This window comes from Homo sapiens, chromosome 19 (genome assembly GCF_000001405.40).
Source record: "Homo sapiens chromosome 19, GRCh38.p14 Primary Assembly".
NCBI lineage: Eukaryota > Metazoa > Chordata > Mammalia > Primates > Hominidae > Homo > Homo sapiens.
This window is the reverse complement of record NC_000019.10, coordinates 47,400,316-47,422,436: the sequence shown is the minus strand read 5'-3', so window position 1 is coordinate 47,422,436 and position 22,121 is coordinate 47,400,316. Positions and strand designations below refer to the sequence as shown.

The 22,121-nt window shown below is 56.8% G+C and overlaps 1 protein-coding gene across 29 annotated transcripts, besides 5 other annotated features; it reads left to right on the top strand.

Moving 5' to 3' along the window:
- Nucleotides 204-19,313, top strand: MEIS3 (Meis homeobox 3). 29 transcript variants are annotated; one of them, NM_001346148.2, is made up of 13 exons: nucleotides 204-248; nucleotides 5,087-5,259; nucleotides 5,474-5,633; nucleotides 5,735-5,785; nucleotides 7,336-7,386; nucleotides 7,571-7,720; nucleotides 12,890-13,001; nucleotides 13,190-13,338; nucleotides 15,009-15,085; nucleotides 15,300-15,358; nucleotides 15,466-15,549; nucleotides 15,911-15,977; nucleotides 18,884-19,313. In NM_001346148.2, the coding sequence occupies exons 1-12, from the start codon at nucleotides 246-248 to the stop codon at nucleotides 15,958-15,960; spliced, it is 1,119 nt and encodes a 372-aa protein (NP_001333077.1). In that variant the 5' UTR covers nucleotides 204-245; the 3' UTR covers nucleotides 15,961-15,977; nucleotides 18,884-19,313. The 29 variants fall into 29 exon arrangements, with proteins under 29 accessions (NP_001333077.1, XP_024307383.1, NP_001426242.1 ...); XM_024451615.2 differs by having other exon boundaries at nucleotides 14,871-15,085; NM_001009813.3 differs by lacking the exon at nucleotides 204-248 and adding an exon at nucleotides 2,910-3,367 and having other exon boundaries at nucleotides 7,622-7,720.
- Nucleotides 2,830-3,823: an enhancer, noted in NCBI's record as "H3K27ac-H3K4me1 hESC enhancer chr19:47921871-47922864 (GRCh37/hg19 assembly coordinates)". NCBI's record gives its function as "activates a minimal SCP1, AML or CMV promoter by ChIP-STARR-seq in naive H9 embryonic stem cells {active_cell/tissue: H9 hESC(naive)}" and the evidence as "EXISTENCE:reporter gene assay evidence [ECO:0000049][PMID:30033119]".
- Nucleotides 3,824-4,816: an enhancer, noted in NCBI's record as "H3K4me1 hESC enhancer chr19:47920878-47921870 (GRCh37/hg19 assembly coordinates)". NCBI's record gives its function as "activates a minimal SCP1, AML or CMV promoter by ChIP-STARR-seq in primed H9 embryonic stem cells {active_cell/tissue: H9 hESC(primed)}" and the evidence as "EXISTENCE:reporter gene assay evidence [ECO:0000049][PMID:30033119]".
- Nucleotides 18,450-19,147: an enhancer, noted in NCBI's record as "H3K4me1 hESC enhancer chr19:47906547-47907244 (GRCh37/hg19 assembly coordinates)". NCBI's record gives its function as "activates a minimal SCP1, AML or CMV promoter by ChIP-STARR-seq in primed H9 embryonic stem cells {active_cell/tissue: H9 hESC(primed)}" and the evidence as "EXISTENCE:reporter gene assay evidence [ECO:0000049][PMID:30033119]".
- Nucleotides 19,148-19,847: an enhancer, noted in NCBI's record as "H3K4me1 hESC enhancer chr19:47905847-47906546 (GRCh37/hg19 assembly coordinates)". NCBI's record gives its function as "activates a minimal SCP1, AML or CMV promoter by ChIP-STARR-seq in primed H9 embryonic stem cells {active_cell/tissue: H9 hESC(primed)}" and the evidence as "EXISTENCE:reporter gene assay evidence [ECO:0000049][PMID:30033119]".
- Nucleotides 19,848-20,547: an enhancer, noted in NCBI's record as "H3K4me1 hESC enhancer chr19:47905147-47905846 (GRCh37/hg19 assembly coordinates)". NCBI's record gives its function as "activates a minimal SCP1, AML or CMV promoter by ChIP-STARR-seq in primed H9 embryonic stem cells {active_cell/tissue: H9 hESC(primed)}" and the evidence as "EXISTENCE:reporter gene assay evidence [ECO:0000049][PMID:30033119]".

Here is a 22,121-nt window from a genome sequence, read left to right as displayed (position 1 = left end):
GGAGAGAAGGAGAGAGGGTGAGGAAAAGGAGGATGAGGAGGAGGACGGACCGGAGACAGGACCCAGAGGCACAGCGAGAAACTGGCAGAGGAAAGCAGATTCCAACAAAAAAGACGGAGAGGGCGAGGAGAGATAGAAAGGGAAGGAAAAGAGGGAGAGAGGGGTCTCGGTGGGAGCCGCAGCCTGTGCCCCGCCCCCCGCCCGGGTCAGGCCGGGTCCTTCCCGCCACCGCTGAGCCGTGGCTAATGGTATGATTGCTTGGTGGGGCGGGAGGGGAAGGGGGCGGCAGGCATTTGTCAGGGCCGGTGACGAATGAGCCACAGGAGTCTGGGCTCGGGTGATGGATGGCGTGGCCAGCGGGCGGAGGGGCGGGCGCAGGGGTGGGCGCCCCCACCAAGATAAATGTTTCCTTCTCCTGGAGCTGGGCCAGGCAGCGGGAGGACGGGAAGGGGGCGATGTATTTATGAAGGGCCCGGGTGGAGGAGAGGGGAGAGAGCCAGGGAGACAGAAGCCCAGGGAGGATACGGTGGGGGGGACAGGGAGGCGGAGAGAGGGAGAGGAAGGAGGGAGAAGAGACAGAGGCCCCTGGAGAGAGAGACCGAGAAAGATGGAGAGAAAGAGAGATAAGAAAGATGAGGCAGAGAAGACATCCAGACAAAGAGACACAGAGATACAAGAAAAAAAAAAAAAGCCAGGAGACAGACAGACAGACACAGCCCAGGTGACAGACAGACAGACATAGCCCAGGCGGAGATGGAGACAGAGACGGCCTGTCTTTTAGGGTCCCTTCTTCCCCCACCCTCCTGAGCAGAGACACAGATTCTCAGAGAGAGCCTGGAATGAGGAGGAGGAAGCAAACCTGGGCCCCCAGAAGGAGAGAGACAGACACAGAGCGGTTGATAAAGAGGGGAAACCGAGGCAGGAGGCTAGCAGGCCCGAGAGAGAGGACAGGAGGAACCCAAGGTGGATCCTCGTTCATTCGGTCTGCTCCTGTAGGCTTTCAGAGGGGATCCTGGGGACCACTGCGGATCCCCGGGGGACGTGGCTGCCTGGTGGGCATAGCCCCAGTGGTCGGTGCTCAGGTTGGGGCACTGAAGGGCCAGTCCGCTGAGAGATCGCCCAGCCCGTGCTGGGGAGACCCATGAGGTCCCCCAGATCTACTCATAGAGGGCTCCACGCTTCCCGTCTGTAAAACAGGTGCAGGACAGGGCTAGAGGGCGGAGACCCCTGCAGACTGGGAGCTGGGGTCACTCTGATGCCACCCAGGGAGCCACTCAGCCGGGCAGGGAAGACGCTTCCAGACACTGTCACAGGGAGGCCCAAGCACACCCTCGAAGAGCCGACAGGCAGCCGCGACGCAGTGACACAGGCACCCCCGCTCCAGCACCAGGCCTGGCCGCCACCTGCTCCCTCCCCCTGGGAACAGAAGGGTCCCAGGACTATTTAAGGGAGACAGCCAGGAAGAGAGAGAGAGAGAGAGAGAGAGAGAGAGAGAGTGTGTGTGTGTGTGTGTGTGTGTGTGTGTGAGAGAGAGAGAGAGAGAGCGAGAGACAGAGACGGACAGACAGACGGATGGACAGACAGAGGGAAAGACTGGAGGAAGAGCCTCAGAAAGCCGGAGCCTCCCCCCTGCTCCCTCCGTCCCCCGCCGGCATCCTCCATCCTCCCCCAATCAATTTCTCTCCCACACACTTATTTCTCCCTTCCCAACAGCTCGTCTCTTTCTTTAATTAGAAAGATTTATGCTTCAGAGTCCAAGCCCCCTGCTCTTGTTTTGGGGGTGGCAGGGACGACTCCAGGGTCTCTATTGGAGCTCCTGTCCCCCACTCCCTCCCCCTCCTGTCTGTCTCACTCTGTCTGCACCTCTCTCTCTCTCTCCTCCCACCCGCGTCTGTCTCTGTCTCTCTCTCTCTCTGAATCACACCGTCACTGGAGTTACCTCCCTCCCCACTCCAGTTAGGCCCCATCCCCATCCCAGGTGCCCCCTCCCTCCCTTCCTGCTCTGTCCACGCCCCCCACCACTGGCCGTCAGATGAGGCCGCACTTGCTCCTCTAGGTTTCAGAATCAGCCTGGGCTAAGGGGACCTTAGCATGCACCACCCCCCAAAAAAGCAAATAGAGCCAGAGACTCCTAACCCTTGCATCCCTCACCCCAAGTCTTGGCTGAGGGTGAGGTGGGGGTGGAGCAGACCAAAGGGCCTTGTGTCTTTAATTAAAAAGTGATTTAAATTAATTTTCTGCTCCAAAACCCCTATCTGGGGTGCGCCGGCCTTGAGGAAAGGCAAGGCCTCCAGACCCTTCCCCTCGGACTGCCTTAAACGGCCAGCCTCACCGCAGGACAGCCACGGGGGCAGAGCCCGCCGGCATGGGGACCCCCAGACTCAGCCAAGACCCTGAGTCCTGGCACCCTCTAGCTTAACTGTTTCTCCGTTATCCACAGCCCACCCCCGCCGCCCCCAGCGCACTGCCCATCCTGCAGAGGGGGAATCGAGCCTCAGAGAGGGGAGAGCCTACGGTGGGACCAGACTCCAGATTCCCACGTGACCCCTGGAGATGGCCAGGGAGGGGGTCCGTGGTGTGTCCAGGGGGCTCGGAGAACAGAGAGCCAGAGGAGAGAAAGGACGGGAGAAGCGGAGACAGAGAGAGACAAGGAGAGAGAGACTGGGAAAGAGGGAGACTGAGAAACCCGGAGCAGGAACCCCAGCCCTGGGTAGGAGAGGAGGGGCCTGGGGGCACCAGGGCCGCGGTCTCTTCCTCTCCTCCCCCCACAGCCTGCCCCTCCCCGACTCCCACCGGAAGTGCTGCTGCTGCCCTAACCCCAATCCCTCGTGCTGTAGCTCTGCAGGCTCACTCTGGCTCATCCCCTATCCCGCTCCTTGGTGGTTCTGTTTAATTTCCACAAGACAAGGGAGAGACCGGGAACGGGGAGCGCGGCTGCCAGCACCCCTGAGCCGCCGCCGGACCCTCCGTCGCCCCGGGCCGCCCCCCGCCCCCTGCGGTCCCCGGTGTGTCCGTCTCGGGACGGTTCGATTCCCTCCAGAGCCGGGGAAGGGACGGGGGGGGCCCAGAGGAGGGGGCCTCGGGCGCCCCGCCTGCGCCTGCTGCCCCCGCCCCGGCGGCGATGCGCTCCTGGCCGTGACCCCCGCTGGGGGCGGGGGCCGGGGTCCATGCGCGGAGTCCCCACCCGGCCCGGCGCCTGCCGCTGACGGCGGCGGGGGTGGGGGGGCGCGCGCCTGGCCTCCTGCCCACCCCCTGGCGTCAACACCGCGGGCCGTCAGGGGCTGCGGCCCCGGGCTGCGCCCTCCCCCGCGGCCAGGCTCTGGAGGGACCCAGGAGCTGCCGCCGGCCTCAGCCCATGGCCCGGAGGGTAGGTCTCGGGGCGGGGACCCCGCGTCCCGGCCGCTTCCGCACCCCCTGTCCCTGCATCCCCCACTCTCCGGCGCTGGCCCCCATTAGCCCATCCGTCCTCTACACCACCTCGCTCTCTCTCTGCCCCTCCCTCCGCCCCTGGGTCTCCCAGTCCCTGTGTGCCCCCTCTCTGCCCCCAAGTGTCTCTTCCTGGCCCTCGGCCTCGCCTCCTCCCCATCGTTTAGCTTCTCCTTCTCCCTGCCCCTCTGTCCCCCTCTGTCTGCCCCACTCTCCTCCTCCTTTCTGCCTCTCTGTCCCCCTCTCTCTGTCCCTGGTCTCCCCCCTCTTTCTGCCTCTCTATCCCCCTCTCTCTGCCCTCCCCCACCCGCAGTCTCTCTCCTCTGTTCCTGGGCTTCCTCCTCCATCTCAGCCGCCCGCACCTCACCGTCCCCCCTTTTTTCTGCTCTCCTCCGTCCTTCCCTTCGCTCTACTTTTGTTCCAAGCCGCCCCTGCCTCTCCAGGGCTAGGAGTGGGACAGGGGTGGGAGAGGTGGTCTCACCAGGCTGCTGGCCCCACGGAGCCTGTCTCCCTGGGGATGGGAACGGGGATAGAAGACAGGGGAGGAGGCGCGCGCCCGTTTTGGGGGTTCCGGGTAGGCTGTGAGGACCGCTTTTGGTGAGAGTGCCTTGAGCAGCGGGGAGCAGTTGGATTCAACTTCAGGGCACAGGAGAAGTTAGGAGAAGAGGGAGAGGGAAAGAGTGGGACACACAGAACCAGGGTGCCCAGCCAGGCGAGGGTCCGAGGCAGGAACGTTCTAGCCTCTTCCCGTGCGAGTCCTGCTGCCTCTTTGAGCCTCCGTGTCTTCATCACTGAGGAAGGGATTTGACCTGATGAGAGGAAGGTGCCCCTGGCTTCCCAGGTGCATGGTTCTGTGACGACAGGACGCGGTCGTCCTACCCCATAATGGTGTTTCTCTTGGGTGCGCAATCGTGTCTGTATGGTGGTGCGGAGTGACCCTCTCCGGCAACAAGTGCTCACAGCATGAGCCAGGCCCTGTGCTAAATGCCTCATTCATTCATTCATCCATGTGCCAAATGTCTCAATCATGCATTCATTCTTGTGCCTGGTGTTGGGCTGTGTGCATGTGTGTGTGCATGTGTGTGTGGGGGGGGGGATTTGGGTGTGACTGACACATGAGTGTGCACGTGGGTTGGTGTGTATGGCTGTGTCTACATGTGTGGTAGATTCACGTGGCGAGTGGAGTGTGACATGTTGTTGAGACTTACTCTGATGCGCTTATCTGCCAACTGTGAAATGAAATAGAAGACAGGGAGGCTTCGTATGTGTACTTTGTGTACAACAATGCGCGGTTCCTACAGGAGGTGTCCATGGATCTCCCTCTCTGTCTGTCTCTCTCTCTGTCTCTGTCACTGTCTTCTCACGCCACTTTCTCCATCTCTTTTCCCTCCCAGCCAGACCCTGCCGTCTCTCCCTCTGGGTCCTCCTGCCCACATGTCAGGAATCTCTGCCTGGACGGGGTCCTCACTCCCCACCGAGGCAGCTCCAGGGGACCTGGAGGGCTTCAAGCTTGGGGGCTCAGACACCTGGGGACCACAGGCAGGTTTCTGGGACACAGAAGGGCATCTCCTGGGTTCCAGGATAGAGAAGCTCCTCAGCCGAGTCTCGGGGTGCTGACCCCTCCCTGGGGCTCCGCCCTTCTCTTCTCACCTTCCCCCAGTATGATGAGCTGCCGCACTACCCAGGCATCGTGGATGGCCCCGCAGCCCTGGCTAGCTTCCCAGAGACAGTGCCCGCAGTACCAGGGCCCTATGGCCCGCACCGGCCTCCCCAGCCCCTGCCCCCAGGCTTGGACAGCGACGGCCTGAAGAGGGAGAAGGATGAGATCTATGGGTGAGTGGGGCCGGGTCTCAGGCTCCTGTCTCTCTCTCTCTGTCTTTCTGCTTCTTTGCTCCCTGGGTCTGCTTCTGTCTCTCTCTGTGTACGAGTCTCTGTCTCCTTCCCTCTCTGGGTCTCTTGTCCCCTCCCCAGCTGTTCTGCATCTTGGCAGCCCCTCCATCCACCTCCCAGCCTCTCCCTCAACCTCTCTCCTTTCCTGCCTCCCCAGACACCCGCTCTTCCCCCTCTTGGCCCTGGTCTTTGAGAAATGTGAACTGGCTACATGCTCTCCCCGTGACGGGGCCGGAGCTGGGCTGGGGACACCCCCTGGAGGTGACGTCTGCTCCTCTGATTCCTTCAACGAGGACATCGCTGCCTTTGCCAAGCAGGTGGGCACCTCCCACCCACCACACACCGAGTCAGAGAGCCAGCGAGGAGGGGTGGGTGGAAGGCGGGACATCCCCCTGCCGGCCTCTCTCTTCCCTCCCAGGTTCGCTCTGAGAGGCCCCTCTTCTCCTCCAACCCAGAACTGGACAATCTGGTGAGACCCGAGCCCTCCCCCACACCCCCTCCTCCAATGGGTCTCCTTCCCTGACGCCCCATCCCTGGGGTTGGTGGGGGGGGTGCAGAGAGAAGGCCACCTGGTCCATGTCCCCAAACCGTCATGATTGTTGCCCACGTGCCGTGTGGTACAGCCTAGAGTCTGAGAACGGGACCCATGGCCCGAGTTCAAATCCCAGCTCTGCCACTCACCAGCTCTGTGACCCAGGGCAAGTCACTCTGCATCTCCGTGCCTTGGTGTCCCGTCTGTGAAGTGTGGCTGGTAGTAATGTCTGTCTTGGAGGGCTGCTGTGGGGGTTTAATGAGTGAATGCGATTCAAGTGCGTGGAACAGCACCTGGCACAGAATAGGGCTCAAAAAGTGTCTGATGTTCCATCCGTCAGAAGATCAGCACCTATGCCAAAGTGAGCGCAGGGACTGCTGCCCAAGGAGAGGAGGCTGGGTGCGGCAGCTCACGCCTGTAATGCCAGCACTTTGGGAGGCCAAGGCCAGGAGATAGCTTGAGGCCAGGGATCGAGACCAGCCTGGGCAACGTAGCGAGACCCCACCTCTACAAAAACATTTAATTAGCGGGGTGTGGTGGCATGCACCTGTGGTCTCAGCTACTTTGGAGGCTGAGGCGGGAGGATCGCTTGAGCCCCAAGAGGTCGAGGCTGTAGTGACCCTTGATCAGCTCCACTGCATACCAGCCCAGGCAACAGGGCAAGACCCTGTCTCTCATAGAGAGCTAGAGAAAGAGAAAGAAAGAAAGAAAAAGAGGGCCGGGTGCGGTGGCTCATGCTTGTAATCCCAGCACTTTGGGAGGCTGAGGCAAGCAGATCACCTGAGGTCAGGAGTTCGAGACCAGCCTGACCAAATGATGAAACCCTGTCTCTACTAAAAATACAAAAATTAGCTGGGCACAGTGGTGCACGCCTGTAGTCCCAGCTACTCAGGAGGCTGAGGCAGGAGAATCGCTTGAACCTGGGAGGCAGAGGTTGCAGTGAGCCAAGATCACACCACTGCATTCCAGCCTGGGCAACAGAGCAAGACTCCATATCAAAAAAAAAAAAAAAAAAGAGAGAGAGAGAGAAGAAAGGAGGGAGGAATACCCAGCTTCTCCCATCCTTTGCTCCCCAAGCTCTTGCCAGGGCTTCCTATTGGCCAAACCCTTTGGCAAGTGTTCTGGGAAATGTAGCTTGCAGGTGGGTGGGGCCTGGAGCTGGGGGCCAACAGGCAGAGGATGGGAATGCCAGTCAGCATGGCTCACCTTAGCTCTCCCCGCTTGTGATGGGTCCTTTTTCGTCTCTTGCTTCTCTCAATCTAACATCTGCTCTTTCCTTAATTCTGGGCTGCATCTCTGTTCTCTCTTTCCCCCTTGCACCTGGTGTCTTTGTCTCTCTTTGCTGCATCTCCCTGTCCCTGTCATTTTGTCTCACTCTTTCTGTTTCTCTGTGTCTCCTCTTCCTCCTTCTCTTCCTCTTCCTTCTTCCTCCCTGCTCCCTCCCCCAATTCCCTCTGTCTCCCCCCACCTCCCGCCCACGTTTTCAGATGATCCAGGCCATCCAGGTGCTGCGGTTCCACCTGCTGGAGCTGGAGAAGGTGAGCGCGTCTCACCTCCCCACACCCTCACTTGCCCCTGTCATCCCACCCCCTCTCGTCGCCTCTGCCCCCCACCTTCCAGCTCTCTCCCCACCGGAGTTGAAGCAGAATGCCGCCCCCGTCCCTGAGCACCCCCGCCCTGCCCCCGTGGGTGGCCCCCCCCAGTACCCCGGTGCCCCCCCAGGTCCACGACCTGTGCGACAACTTCTGTCACCGCTACATCACCTGCCTCAAGGGAAAGATGCCCATCGACCTGGTCATCGAGGATCGGGACGGCGGCTGCAGGGAGGACTTCGAGGACTACCCAGCCTCCTGCCCCAGCCTCCCAGACCAGGTGGGCCCGGGACGGGCACCAGGCATCGTCCTGCAGCCACAGCTGTGCCTGGACACCGCATGAGGGCGCATGTGCACTACACAGCCTCAGACGAAGCCACAGTCAGCCTGATCACAGGGCACGCATATGCACACAGCCACACACCCACTACACAACAGCTACGCAGACTCGGATGCGGCTGGGCAACAGTGCACAGACACACGCACACCAGCGGCTGCAGATGCCACCCACAGATTCAGCTACACCCACACAGGTCCACATACAGCCACACCAACTCAGCAACAGCCATTTCTGCTCACAGCCAGACAGTAGCGTCCACCGGGTACTCACACACGCCCCCCAGCCCAGCCATACGACAGCAGCATAGAACACACAGCCGGGTTCCGCACGCCGTTCTCAATTGAGTATGTGTCCACTGCATACACACACCCGCTCCAGCCACACAGATGGACATAGAGCCAAACAGCCCCAGGTACTGCCCGGCAAACTCAGATATAACCACACTTGGGCCCGGACTGACCACGGTGCCCTCTTGCACACACGTGACCCTGGCCACATCACAGTCGGGCTGCAGCCGAGATCACACGCACACACCACTCACAGCCACATGGCCCCAGACTCATCTACGCAGACTTGGAAATAGACTCACAGGCTCAGATGCGGCCACAAAGAATCAAACCCAGGCCGGGTGCGGTGGCTCTCACCTGTAATCCCAGCACTTTGGGAGGCTGAGGTGGGTGGATCATGAGGTCAGGAGATCAAGACCATTCTGGCTAACACGGTGAAACCCCGTCTCTACTAAAAATACAAAAAAAAAAAAAATTAGCTGGGTGTGGTGGCGGGTGCCTGTAGTCCCAGCTACTCAGGAGGCTGAGGCAGGAGAATGGCATGAACCCGGGAGGTGGAGCTTGCAGTCAGCCAGGATCGCACCACTGCACTCCAGCCTGGGCGACAGAGCAAGACTCCATCTCAAAAAAAAAAAAAAAGAATCAAACCCAGCAAAGCAACTCAGTAAGGTGGCACCATCTCAGACGCAGCCTCACTACAGTTTTATCCACTTAGGACACCAGACGGAAAACACACACAGCACAGCCGTGTGGATCCCGACTTGCCACAGCTCCATACAGAGTACAGGGGCAAAGCCTTGAGAAGTCGCATGAGAGCCACACTCAGGCAATCCTACTGTGAACACACCTGGCAATGACATCTTCACAGCACACGCACACCCACTCCACACCACCTCAGATACACTCCTATGACGACCACGCCACAGCCAGACCCACCCAGACACAGTCCCGGAGACATTTTTTTTTTTTTTTGAGATGGAGTCTTGTTTTGTCACCCAGACCGGAATGGAGTGCAGTGGCACGATCTCGGCTCACTGCAAGCTCTGCCTCCTGGGTTCAAGCTATTCCCCTGCCTCAGCCTCCCGGGTAGCTGGGACTACAGGTGCCCACGACCACACCGGGCTAATTTTTGTTCAGTAGAGACGGGGTTTCACCATGTTGGCCAGGCTGGCCTCGAACTCCTGACTTCAAGTGATCCTCCCGCCTCGGCCTCCCAAAGTGCTGGGATTACAGGCATGAGCCACTGCAGCCGGCCAAGTCCTGGAGCCTTATACCCACTCGCACAGGAATCGCAACAACAGTGTCACAAACAGGACAACCAAACCTTCAAACTGCAGTCACAGAAAGGAAAATGTAGACTGGTGATGGCTGGGCGCAGTGGCTCATGCCTGTAATCCCAGTACTTTGGGAGGCCGAGGTGAGCAGATCATCTGAGGTCAGGAGTTCAAGACCAGCCTGGCCAACATGGCAAAAACCCGGCTCTACTAAAAATACAAAACTTAGGCCAGGTGCAGTGGCTCACGACTGTAATCCCAGCACTTTGGGAGGCTGAGGTGGGCAGATCACGAGGTCAGGAGTTTGAGACCAGCCAGGCCAACATGGTGAAACCCCGTCTCTACTAAACATAAAAAAAACAAAAAATTAGACAGGCGTGGTGGCACGCACCTCTGATCCCAGCTACTCAGGAGGCTGAGGCAGGAGAATTGCTTGAACCCGGGAGGCGAAGGTTGCAGTGAGCCAAGATCGCGCTATTGCACTTCAGCCTGGGTGACAGGGCAAGACTCTGTCTCAAAAAAACAAACAAACAACAACAAATTAGCTGGGTGTTATGTCGTGCGCCTGTAGTCCCATCTACTTGGGAGGCTGAGGCAGGAGAATCACTTGAACCCGGGAGGCGGAAGCTGCAGTGAGCCGAGATCTCGCCACTGCACTCTAGCCTGGGCGACAGAGTGATACTCTGTCTCAAAAAAAAGAAGGGTGGGAGGAGGCGTGGTCACCAGAACTGGAGAGAGGAGCAGATTGCTTGACAGCGGCTAAGATTTTTGGTAGAAGAATACAGTTAATCTAAAACCACTTGGCAGATTTAACCCAACGTTAAACTGAAAAACAAAGAACTGTTACTGCAGTCCATATGGGTGAGCTGACCTCCTGGGGCACAGATCTGGGTAGAGGGTAAATCCTACCCGATTGTTGAGTTCCTCAAAGTGTGTTGGAGTTTGCATAAAGAAACTGTGAGGCTGGCTGCAGTGGCTTCATGGCTGTAATCCCAGCACTTTGGGAAGTCGAGGCAGGAGGATTGCTTGAGCCCAGGAGTTCGAGAGCAGTCTGGACAAACTGTGAAATCCCATCTCGACAAAAAATAAGAAAAATTAGCCAGGCGCAACTGTAGTTCCAGCTACTTGGGAGGCTGAGGCGGGAGGATTGCTTAAGCCCAGGAGTTTGAAGCTGCAGAGAGCTAAGATTGCACCACTGCACTCCAGCCTAGGTGACAGAGCAAGACTCTGTCTCTTCAAAGAAAAAAAAAAGATAAGGCCGGGCACGGTGGCTCACACCTGTAATCCCAGCGATTTGTGAGTCTGAGGGGGGTGGATCACAAGGTCAGGAGTTTGAGACCAACCTGGCCAACATGGTGAAACCCCATCTCTACTAGAGATACAAAAAATTAGCCGGGCATGGTGGCACACACCTGTAATCCCAGCTACTCGGGAGGCTGAGGCAGGAGAATCGCCTGAACCCAGGAGGTATAGGTTTCAGTGAGCTGAGATCATGCCATTGCACTCCAGCCTGGGGGACAGGGCGAGACTCCGTCTCAAAAAAAAAAAAAAAAGAAAAGAAAAAGATAATACAGCCCCAGACCCCCTTAGCTACAATTCTGAGACCCCAGAATCTCTGAAACTTCAAAGTTTTGGATTTTGTCCCATAAATTTAGTGCAAACTCATTTGGCAGCAAAAGCTGACCTGAACTAATGAGGGGCTATTTATAGCCTTTATTTATTCCACTTAGTTAAATACTCATCCATGTTGCTATGGAAATGTTCATGAGTTTGATGACGAGGTTGTGCCCCAGACCCTGCCTAGGATGGTTGCGAACTGCATGGTGTATGCGCTGATTTATTGCCTAGAAATGTGAAATGGGCCTGGCGCAGTGGCTCACGCCTGTTATCCAAGACTTTGGGAGGCAGAAGTGGGTGGATCACTTGAGCCCAGGAGTTCGAGACCAGCCTGGCCAATGTGGTGAAACGCCGTCTCTACTAAAAATACAAAAATTAGCCAGGTGTGGTGGCAGGCACCTGTAATCCCAGCTACTCGGGAGACTGAGGCATGAGAATCACGTGAACCTGGGAGGCAGAGGCTGCATTGAGCCTAGATCATGCAACTACACTCCAGCCTGGGCGACAGAGTGAGACACTGACTAAAAATAAAGATAAAAATGTGAAATGTTCGGAATCCTGAGACACTTCTTGCCCCAAGGATTTTAGATAAGATGCCATAGACCTGTGTAAGGTCATCTTGTTTGAGCCCCTGTGTAGACAAACTCATCATTGAATACTGGCCACACACTGTCAGGACTATTATTGTCCTTCATTTTCCTTTTCTTTTTTTTGAGACGGAGTCTCACTCTGTCACCCAGGCTGGAGTGCATTGGTGTGATCTCGGCTCACTGCAAGTTCTGCCTCCCAGGTTCATGCCATTCTCCTGCCTCAGCCTCCCGAGTAGCTGGGACTACAGGCGCCCACCACCACGCCCAGCTAATTTTTTGTATTTTTAGTAGAGACGGGGTTTCACCATGTTAGCCAGGATGGTCTCGATCTCCTGACCTTGTGATCTACCCGCCTGGGCCTCCCACAGTGATGGGATTACAGGCATGAGCCATCGCGCCCGGCCCTTCTTTTCCTTTTTCTTTTTTTTTTTTTTTTGAGACGTAGTCTCACTTTGTCACCCCGGCCAGGCTGGAGTGCAGTGGCACAATCTTGGCTCACTGCAACCTCCCCCTCCCGGGTTCAAGCGATTCTCCCGCCTCAGCCTCCCGAGTAGCTGGGATTACAGGAACCCACCATCATGCCCAGCTAATTTTTGTATTTTTGGTAGAGACAAAGTTTCACCATGTCGGCCAGGCTGGTCTTCAACTCCTGACCTCAGGTGATCCGCCTGCCTCGGCCTCCCAAAGTGCTGGGATTATAGGTGTGAGCCACTGTGCCCAAGCCAGCCTGGTTTTTGTATTTTTAGTAGAGATGGGGTTTCACCATGTTGGCCAGGCTGGTCTCAAATGCCCGACCTCAGGTGATCTGCCTGCCTCAGCCTCCAAAAGTGCTGGCATTACAGGCGTGAGCCACCGTGCCTGGTCCTGTCCTTCATTTTCCAGTTAAGGAAACGGAGGCTCAGAGTGGGGAAGTGACCTGCCCAAGATCACACAGCTAGGAAGGAGGCAGGGACTGGCTTCCCATCCAGGAGTCCTAGCTCCAGAGTCCATGCCCAAAGCCTTGGCACTAACTTTTTTTTTTTTTTTGACACGGAGTCTTGCTCTGTCACCCAGGCTGGAGTGCAGTGGCGCAATCTCGGCTCACTGCAACCTCTGCCTCCCGGGTTCAAGCGATTCTCCTGCCTCAGCCTCCTGAGTAGCTAGGACTACAGGTGCATGCCACCACACCCGGCTAATTTTTTGTATTTTTAGTAGAGACGGGGTTTCACCATGTTAGCCATGATGGTCTTGATCTCTTGACCTTGTGATCTGCCTGCCTTGGCCTCCCAAAGTGCTGGGATTACAGGCGTGAGCCACTGCGCCCGGCCGCCTTGGCACTAACTTCTAACTCTTGTTTTCTAGAATAATATGTGGATTCGAGACCATGAGGATAGTGGGTCTGTACATTTGGGGACCCCAGGTCCATCCAGTGGGGGCCTGGCCTCCCAGAGTGGGGACAACTCCAGTGACCAAGGTGAGAATCTTGGGAGGTGGAAGGGAAACATGGGAGTCAACCAGAGGATTGAAGTTAGATCGCAAGTAAGACTTGTAGAGGGGCAGAGATGGCTGGGGTGTGGAGTGTTGTCTTGGGGGAGAGTTCTGGGGCCCTCTGGTCCTCCACTCTTCACTACCCACACACACAGCATGCCTGCCTTCCCTCAGGAGACGGGCTGGACACCAGCGTGGCCTCTCCCAGTTCTGGTGGAGAAGATGAGGACTTGGACCAGGAGCGACGGCGAAACAAGAAGAGGGGGATCTTCCCCAAGGTGGCCACCAACATCATGCGAGCCTGGTTGTTCCAGCACCTCTCGGTGAGAGCCCTGCTGCCCAGGTGCAGGGTGGGAATGGAGAGAGGGAGAAGGGTGGACCACAGAGACCGAAACCCCAGAGAAACCCAGAAGTGGGAGAAAGACGGCAGGAAATTTTTCGAGACTCTCATGGAGGTGGAGAATTGTGACAGGAGCCAGCAGCACTGAGTGTCACCTGAGTGCAGGTGCCGCTCAGGACACTTAACTCACTAAGTCCTCCCCGAAAACTGTCCATTAACCCGCGCATCAATCATCCACCTGCCCACCATCCACCCAGTGTACCCTCGGAGGGAGGGGCTACTATTATCTCCATTTAACAGGTGAGGAGGAGACTGAGGAACAGAGAGGTTAGGAGACTTGCCTAAGGTCACACAGCCAGAAGTGGATTCAAATGCAGGCAGTCTGGCCTTAACCACCGCACCATACTGCTTCAAGGACAGAGGAGAAAAATAGAGCCAGGAAGAGGCTAAAACAGAGAGACACAGAGATTCGGGGAGGACCAAGTCAGAGCAAGATGGAGACAGGGAGAGGCCGAGTCACAGAGGGACAGAGACAGACAGAAACTCGGAGGCAGGGACGGACTGAATCCCAGAGAGAGAGAGAGATACAGACAGAAACACACACACACAGAGATAGTGAGTCAGAGAGAGAATGTGAGAGCCACAAAGAGAGAAATGGAGGGCCAGACACAGTGGCTCATGCCTGTAATCCCAGCACTTTCGGAGGCCATGGCAGGAGGATCACTTGAGCCCAGGAGTTCGAGACCAGCCTGGGCAACATAGCAAGACCCCATCTCTAAAAAAAAAAATTAGCCAGGCATGGTGGCACACACCTGTGATCCCAGCTACTCAGGAGGCTGAGGCCGGAGGATTGCTTGAGCCAGGGAGATTGAGGCTGCAGTGAGCCATGAAGGCGCCACTGCACTCCAGCCTGAGTGACAGAGTGAGACCCTGTTTAAAAAAAAGAGAGAAAGAGAAAGAAAGAAATGGATAGGGAGGGCTGGGTGCGGTGGCTTATGCCTGTAATCCCAACACTTTGGGAGGCCGAGGCGGGCGGATCACGAGGTCAGGAGATCGAGACCATCCTGGCCAACATGGTAAAACCCTATCTCTACTAAAATACAAAAAATTAGTCGGGCATGGTGGCGCGCACCTGTAGTCCCAGCTACTGGGGAGGCTGAGGCGGGGAATCCCTTGAACCCCGGAGGCGGAGTTTGCGGTGAGCAGAGATCGCGCCACTGCATTCCAGCCTGGCGACAGAGCAAGACTCCATCTCAAATAAATAAATAAATAAATGGATAGGGAGAGGGCCACACAGAGACTCTGACAGATTCAGAGAGGGAGGGCCTGGGCTTTGCTTCCCTCCCCGACGCCAGTGAAGCCCCTCCCCCACGCCACAGGAGCCCCCTCCCCCAACACAGTCTCTCTAATCAGAGCTGGCCAGTTAACCTCTAATTGCTGGAACAGGCGGGGGCTGGCAGGCATGTAATTGCCCCAAGCCTGAGGCTCCCTTGGTCTCCATCCTGGGGAGCGCAGAGACGCTCAGAAGCGCCGGTTCTCCCAGACGTCTGCCTGGGCCTGGGCTCCCCATCCCCCGGACCCCGGTGGGCCAGACCTTGGGGTTCAGACTGCGGCCGGCCAGGCAGGCAGAGTGACTCTTGCTGGTGGCTGCAGCACCCGTACCCCTCGGAGGAGCAGAAGAAACAGCTGGCGCAGGACACGGGGCTCACCATCCTGCAAGTCAACAACTGGTGAGTGGCCCAGGAGGGCCCGCGGGCCGGCCCGGGGCGAGAGCCCGGGCGCTGTCCGCGGTGCTGACGGAGGCCCCGAGCCCCGCAGAGCCACTGCCCCTGCTCGCCCCGCTCTGCCTCCCCCGCCGCTGTCCTCCGGCCCGCTCTGTGTTCGTCTTGGCCTCTCTCCCACTCCCTCTTTTCATTCCCCTCCGTTTCCATGACCGCCTCCCAGGTTCATTAACGCCCGGAGACGCATCGTGCAACCTATGATCGATCAATCCAACCGCACAGGTACAGGGGGAAGGCGGGGACGGAGAGCCTGGGGTTCTTAGGAGGGCGTCAAAGCCGGGTCCCGGGCTTCCTGGGGCTCAGCCTGCACCTCTGAACCCCCTTCGCAGGGCAGGGTGCAGCCTTCAGCCCAGAGGGCCAGCCCATCGGGGGCTATACCGAGACGCAGCCACACGTGGCCGTCCGGCCTCCGGGTAAGCCTCGCCCCCTTAGCTAGGCCCCGCCCCTGCGCACCATGACCCACCTGTAAAACAAAGATGCCCACCTGAGATTCAATTCAAGCGGAATACAGTGTGTCACTTGCCTAGTGAGAAGCAGGTGATGCCAAGGCAGATTTCCTGGTCCCCCATCTTTTCCTTACAACCTCATTTCTTCCAGACTTCAAGCCCAATACCTCGGAAGGCTCCACTTTTTCTTAAAGGGCCAGCACCTTCTTATGACTCAGTCTATCCTGGTAGAGGGATCCCCTGGTGTAGGAAGGGGTGAGGGAGACTTAGAGGCATCTGGGGGTGTCTCTGAAAGACGCACTTACCCTCCTTTTTTTTTGTCTTCCAGGATCAGTGGGGATGAGTTTGAACTTGGAAGGAGAATGGCATTATCTATAGAGGCTGATGCAGGAGAGGTGTGAGGGTCTAAGGGCTGGGGATTGTGCAATTCTCAAACCTCCATTAGACCTCAGGACTCCAAGAGTGGGCACTTCCAGAGTAGTGGGTCAGCCTGGGTCCCTGTACTGTGGGTTCTCTGAGGCTTGATGGGAAGATATTCATCCATCTGTCCGTCCGTCCATCCATCCATCCATCCATCCATCCTCCTCCTCCATGTATCCATCCATCTACCCACTCACTCACCCATCCATATCTTTATCCATCCGTTACTCAATTACTCATTCACCCGCAATCCATCCATCCAAACCTAGTCCACCCACCTACCCACTCATTACCCATCTGACCACACATTCACCCACTCACTCCATTCATCTCTCCACTCGCCAACCCACTCATCCATCTACCTCCACACTGACCAACCACCCACACATCTACCCATTTATCTGTGCATTCACCCACCTCCCTACCCAGGCTTCCACCCACCTACCCATCAACTCACCCATCCATCCACCCACACATCCCATTATCCATATATCCACCCACCCACCACCCACTATCCATCCATCCATCCATACCTACATACACCCATTCATCTATGATACATCTCCAAACATAAACTGAGCCCTTGGCTGGGCACGGTAGCTCACGCCTGTAATCCCAGCACTTTAGGAGGCTGAGGCAGGTGGATCACCTGAGGTCAGAAGTTCGAGACCAGCCTGGCCAACATGGTAAAACCCTGTCTCTACTAAAAATACAAAAATTAGCCAGGTGTGGTGGCATGTACCCATAGTCCCAGCTACTCTGGAGGCTGAGGCAGGAGAATCACTTGAACCCAGGAGGCGGAGGTTACAGTGAGCCAAGATCAACCTGGGCAATAAAGTGAGACTCCATCTAAAAAAAAAAAAAAAAAAAAATTGAGCCCTCACTCCATCCTGACATGCCTCAGGTAGGGTCTGGATCTTGAGAAGATTCTGGTCTTGTGGGGAAGTTGGCAACCCCAGTGACAATCCAGTGTAACAGTTCAAACAATAAAACGTAGTTTCCCCATAGGAGGGAGTCATCAGCTATCTCTGGGGTATCAGGGAAGATTTCCTAGAGGAAGTGGCCTCTGGATGGGGCACTGAAGGATGAATAGGAGTCCACTGGGCAGAGTAGGGAGTAATGTGGAAGGGGGGCATTATTTGACTTTCCCAGGCCTTGAGTCTTCTGTGGCCTGGTATGATGGCGGCACTTTAGAGCATCTTCTCATTTAGTCCTTACAACGATCCCGAAAGGGGAGACTATTAACAATTTTAATTTCATAGATAAGAAGACTGAGGTTCAGAGAGAAGAGGTCACTTGCACAGGTCTACCCTGCTCACAAAAGCAGAGGGAACAGCATGTGCAAAGGCCCAGGGTAGGGAGGCAGCCTAGAGTTTCCAAAGCCCAGATCAGAGTTTGACTCTCTCTGGATTAAACCATTTGTGGCTCCCTAGTGCCATCTGGACAAAGTCCTAACTCCTTAGTTTAGCATCCATCTGTCCATCCATCCCCTGAGCCCCTCTGTGCCCAGCCCTGTGCTGGGTAATGTTGGGGACACAACAGTGACCATGACAGCCTCAGCCCTGCCCTCATGGGGCACAAAGTCTAGTGAAGGGGACAGACCCATCCCCAGATGGTGATGCCCCAGAACGGGCAGGGCTGGGATGGTGAAGCCAAGGAACTGGAGGAGCTCACAGGGGGCGGGTGTTGGACCTGGGATGGGGGGAGGTGTTTAGAGAGGGCTTCCTGGAGGAGGGGGCATCTGACCCAGACTAGAGGATTCAAGGAGGGCTGCCTGGAGGAGAGGACTTTGGAGGTGAGACCAGCAGAATGGGAGGAGTGAAGCAGGAGAGGAGCATCTGCAGAGGGAATAGCACGTGCCAAGGCCAGGAGAGCTTGGAAATCTCGTGGCTGTGAGACAGCCCCAGCCCCCTACACACAAGGAGGAAGTTCTCTTTGGACTGGGTTGAGGCAGGCGGCCGGACAGGTGGCTAATGAATTCAGGGCCAGCAGAAAAGCCCTGGGGATGAGAGTGGAGGCCTGCACAGGGCTTATGCATGGAGGCGGGTGCTGGAGGCCGAGCCTGGGAGAGAGATGGGCAGGCGTATCCAGGCCAGGTAGGGCAGTGGGCGACTCAGCTCTTTCATGGCCAAGTGTGGGTAGGGATGGTCTGGGGTGAGTGTCAGGGGACCTTTGGGGTCAGTAGTGATGGAGGGGTCTTCTCATCCCACTGCCTGGCTGCCCAGTGGGCTCTTTTCTCTGCTCCTTTCTGTCTCCTTTTCTGTCTCTCCACTCCTGATCATGGCTCACTGTAGCCTCGACCTCCCCAGGTTAAGCGATCCTCTGGCCTCAGCCTCCCAAGTGGCTGAGACTACAGGCGTGCGCCACCATACCTGGCTAATTTTTATTTTTATTTTTGTAGAGACGGGTCTCGCTTTGTTCCCCAGGCTGGTCTCGAACTCCTGGGCTCAAGCGATCCCCCTGCCTCTGCCTCCCAAAGTGTTGGGGTTACAGGCATGAGTCACCGCGCCCAGCCTCCTGTCTCTCTTTCTCTCTCTCCATTTCGTCTATTTCTTCATGACTTCTTCTCTCTCTTCCCATGTCGTTCTCTCTGACTCCCTCCAGGTCTGTCTCTGTCCTACTCTGCCTGTCTCTCTCCTTGTTCTCTGTCTCTGTCTGTAGGTCTCTCCCTCCCTCACCTCCACTCTGATTCTCTGTCTCCCTCTTTCTCGTCACTGCGTCTCTTCTCTCTGTGACCCTCCCACATCCCTGTGCCATTCCCCGCCAGCCACTCTCTCTGTGTCCCCCTCACATTGGGGCTGATGAGGCCTGCACAGATGGGCTGGGGTGGGGCCAGGCCCCCTGCCCGCTCCTGACTTGGCCTCTCCTCCCCTCTCCACAGACCCAGCCTCCGGCTGTGACCCCCAGCCTCACACCTGCCTCTGGTTCCCGCCTGGTCCTCCAGCTTCAGGACCCCACCTCCAAAGGCCCCTCTGCTCAATGCCTACCTCCCTAGGGCCCTGCTGGGACATGGGGGCCTGAGTGCCCATCCAAGGGCTCTCAAGGACACCGGCAAGGCCTCCAGGCCCTGAGCCCCACTTCTGCCTTCACCTCTGCCTGGGACCCGAGCTGGGCTCCTGGGCCTTGGTCCCCAGAAGATGGCGGCTAGGGCCTCGCCGCCAGGACAGAGAAGGGACGGGGTGGCTGGGCAGTCAGGGAAGGAGGGTCGCCCGGATCCGACATTTTGGAGAGATTCCTTCACTCTCCTGTCCCCCCTACCTCCCTTCTCTAATTTCTTCTTTTTTTTAATGATAAAGTCTTAAAAACACGGAGCCACCAACTGGAGTTCTTGTGTCTATCCCAAGATTTCAAATTCTTACCAATTTGAAGCTCGTAAATCACGAATAAGAATACTGATTGGCCGGCTGCAAGCACGATGGCTCACGCCTATAATCCCAACCCTTTGGGAGGCCAAGGCGAGTGGATCACTTAAGGCCAGGAGTTCAAGACCAGCCTGGCAACATAGTGAGACCCCATCTCTACGAAGCAAGCAAACGAATTGCTTGGGCATGGTGGTGCACGCCTGCAGTTTCAGCTACTTGGGAGCCTCCCAGAGTGCTGGGATTACAAACGAGCCACCAGGCCTGGCCAAGACTCCACCTCTTAACTAGAGGGAGCTGCAGAATTCCTGCAAGAGATGTGTGTGCAGGGGAGAATGAAGACTCAGGGCCACGCCTGCGTCACTTCACCAGCTGTGGCTGTCCAATCACGTCCTCTGTCCCATGGGAAATGAGCAGGTTAGGCAGGCACACCCTCACTTCCAAGGCTTCCGGACGGACGTGGGTTTGAATCTCGCCTCTGGAACGCAACAGCTATGGCACCTCGGGTTACGACTTCACCTGGCTGGGCCCCGGTTTCCACATCTGGAGAATGGGGAGAGCGGCCGTGCCTGTCTCGTAGGATGATTGTGCTGATGGTGGAGGTATTTCGAGGGACACATGGGGAACTGTGCCACGTGTGTCAGCGCCCATCACAGGCAGAGGCTGTCCTTTGTAACTAGGAAAACTGAGGCTCAGAAACCAGTGTGAGTCCCTTGGGGTTCTCAGTTTTCCAGATCTCTGTCCCCTCCACCCCCCAGAGAGAGAGACCACCAAGGCAGAGTGTGGATCGCTCCCCTGTTTGGCTCTGTCTCTCTCCCTCTGGTACCTTTTTTTTTTTTTTTTTTTTTTTTTTTTGAGAGGGAGTCTCACTTTCTTGCCCACACCAGGCTGGAGTGCAATGCTGGGATCTCAGCTCACTGCAACCTCCACCTCCTGGGTTCAAGCGATTCTCCTGCCTCAGCCCCCTGAGTAGCTGGGATTACAGGCATGCGCTACCACGCCCGGCTACTTTTTGTATTTTTAGTAGAGACGGAGTTTCACCATGTTGGCCTGGCTGGTCTTGAACTCCTGACCTCAGGTGATCCACCCACCTCCACTTCCCAAAGTGCTGGGGTTACAGGTATGAGCCACCGCGCCCAGCCATTCTTTCTGTCTCTGTCTTGTTCAGACCTTGTCTCTCTCTGTCCCCTTCCCCACTGGAAACCCACATCTTCGGGGCCTCCCCCTCCCTTCTCCTTCAGAGGCCAGGTGAGCTCTTTCCTTCAGACCCGGGCTGCTTCGTCTTGGCTCACTGCCTTCCAGTCCCCTCTCCCAAGTGCCCCTCAGCCCCTCCGCCATCCAAGCGCCCCCTTTGCCATCCTCTCCCCAGAGCCATCCTTGGACCTCTGAGTCTCTCGGGCACCCCCAACCACGTACACTGCTGCTCTGTGCTCAAGGCCCAAGGGGCACGTGTGTGGGTTTTTGAAGGACCCCGTGAAAAATGTGTTCCTGGACCCCCGGAGTCCCTTTGGGGTGGGCCTGGATGGAGAGATTTGCACAGAGACACACATCGCTACAAACAGACACACATGCAAATACGCACATGCACACTCGGAAACATACACACACATAAAGGATGCACAGAAGATATGCCACACTCAGCCGGGCGCGGTGGCTCACGCCTGTAATCCCAGCACTTTGAGAGGCCGAGGTGGGAGGATCACTTGAGGTCAGGAGTTCAAGACCAGCCTGGCCAACATAGCGAAACCCCGTCTCTACTAAAATACAAAAAATTAGCCAGGTGTGGTGGCACATGCCTGTAATCCCAGCTACTCAGCAGGCTGAGGCAGGAGAATCACTTGAACCCAGGAGGTGGTAGAGGTTGCAGTGAGCTGAGATCATACCACTGCACTCCAGCCTGGACAACAGAGCGAGATTCCGTCCCCCTCTGCCCCCCGAAAAAAAGAAAGAAAATATCCGCTGAGCAGACGAGTGAATGAACAAAATCTTAGGATAGGCCAGGAGTGGTGGCTCACGCCTGTGATCCCAGCATTTTGGGAGGCAAATCACTTGAGGACACAGCCTGGGCAACATGGTGAAACCCCATCTCTACTGAAATATAAAAATTAGCCGGGCATGGTGGCGGGCGCCTGTAGTCCCAGCTACTTGGCAAACTGAAGCAGGAGAATCCCTTGAACCCAAAAGGTGGAGGTTGCAGTGAGCTGAGATCATGCCACTGCACTCCAGCCTGGGTGACAGAGCGAGACTCCATCTCAAAAAAGGAAGAAAGGGATGAGTGTCACAAAAAGCAGAACAGGCACAGGATGAGAGCATGGGCTGCCACTTTTATGACCTTATGGAGCCCTTCAGTAAGTGCTGTGTCCCAGGCTCTGTTCTAGGAGCCGTATACCTGGGAATCTGTTAAACCCTATGGCAGCCCCAGGAGGTGGGTGCCATCACGGTCCCCATTTCCCAGGTGAGGAAGCAGGACCAGAGAGGTGAAGTGGCTCATCCAAGGTCACACAGCTGGAGATTGTGAGGCTGGGCTCCATTTGAACCCAGGCAGCCTGGCTCCAGGGCCTGGACACTAACCACTGTGCTTCCAGCCTCTCTTTTCTTTTTTTTTTTTTGAGATGGAGTCTCACTGTCTCTCTCACCCAGGCTGGAGTGCAATGGTGTGATCTCAGCTCATTGCAACCTCCACCTCCCAGGTTCAAGTGATTCTTCCACATCAGCCTCCCGAGTAGCTGGAATTACAGACACCCACCATCATGCCCGGCT

Excerpts from the sequence above, each read along its gene's own strand:
- MEIS3 (XM_024451612.2), top strand. The coding sequence starts at position 4,690 with ATGTGTACTTTGTGTACAACAATGCGCGGTTCCTACAGGAGGTGTCCA. Across the intron at positions 5,634-5,734 it reads TCGCTGCCTTTGCCAAGCAG|GTTCGCTCTGAGAGGCCCCT; the intron begins GTGGGCACCTCC and ends CTTCCCTCCCAG. Across the intron at positions 7,387-7,570 it reads ACCTGCTGGAGCTGGAGAAG|GTCCACGACCTGTGCGACAA; the intron begins GTGAGCGCGTCT and ends GTGCCCCCCCAG.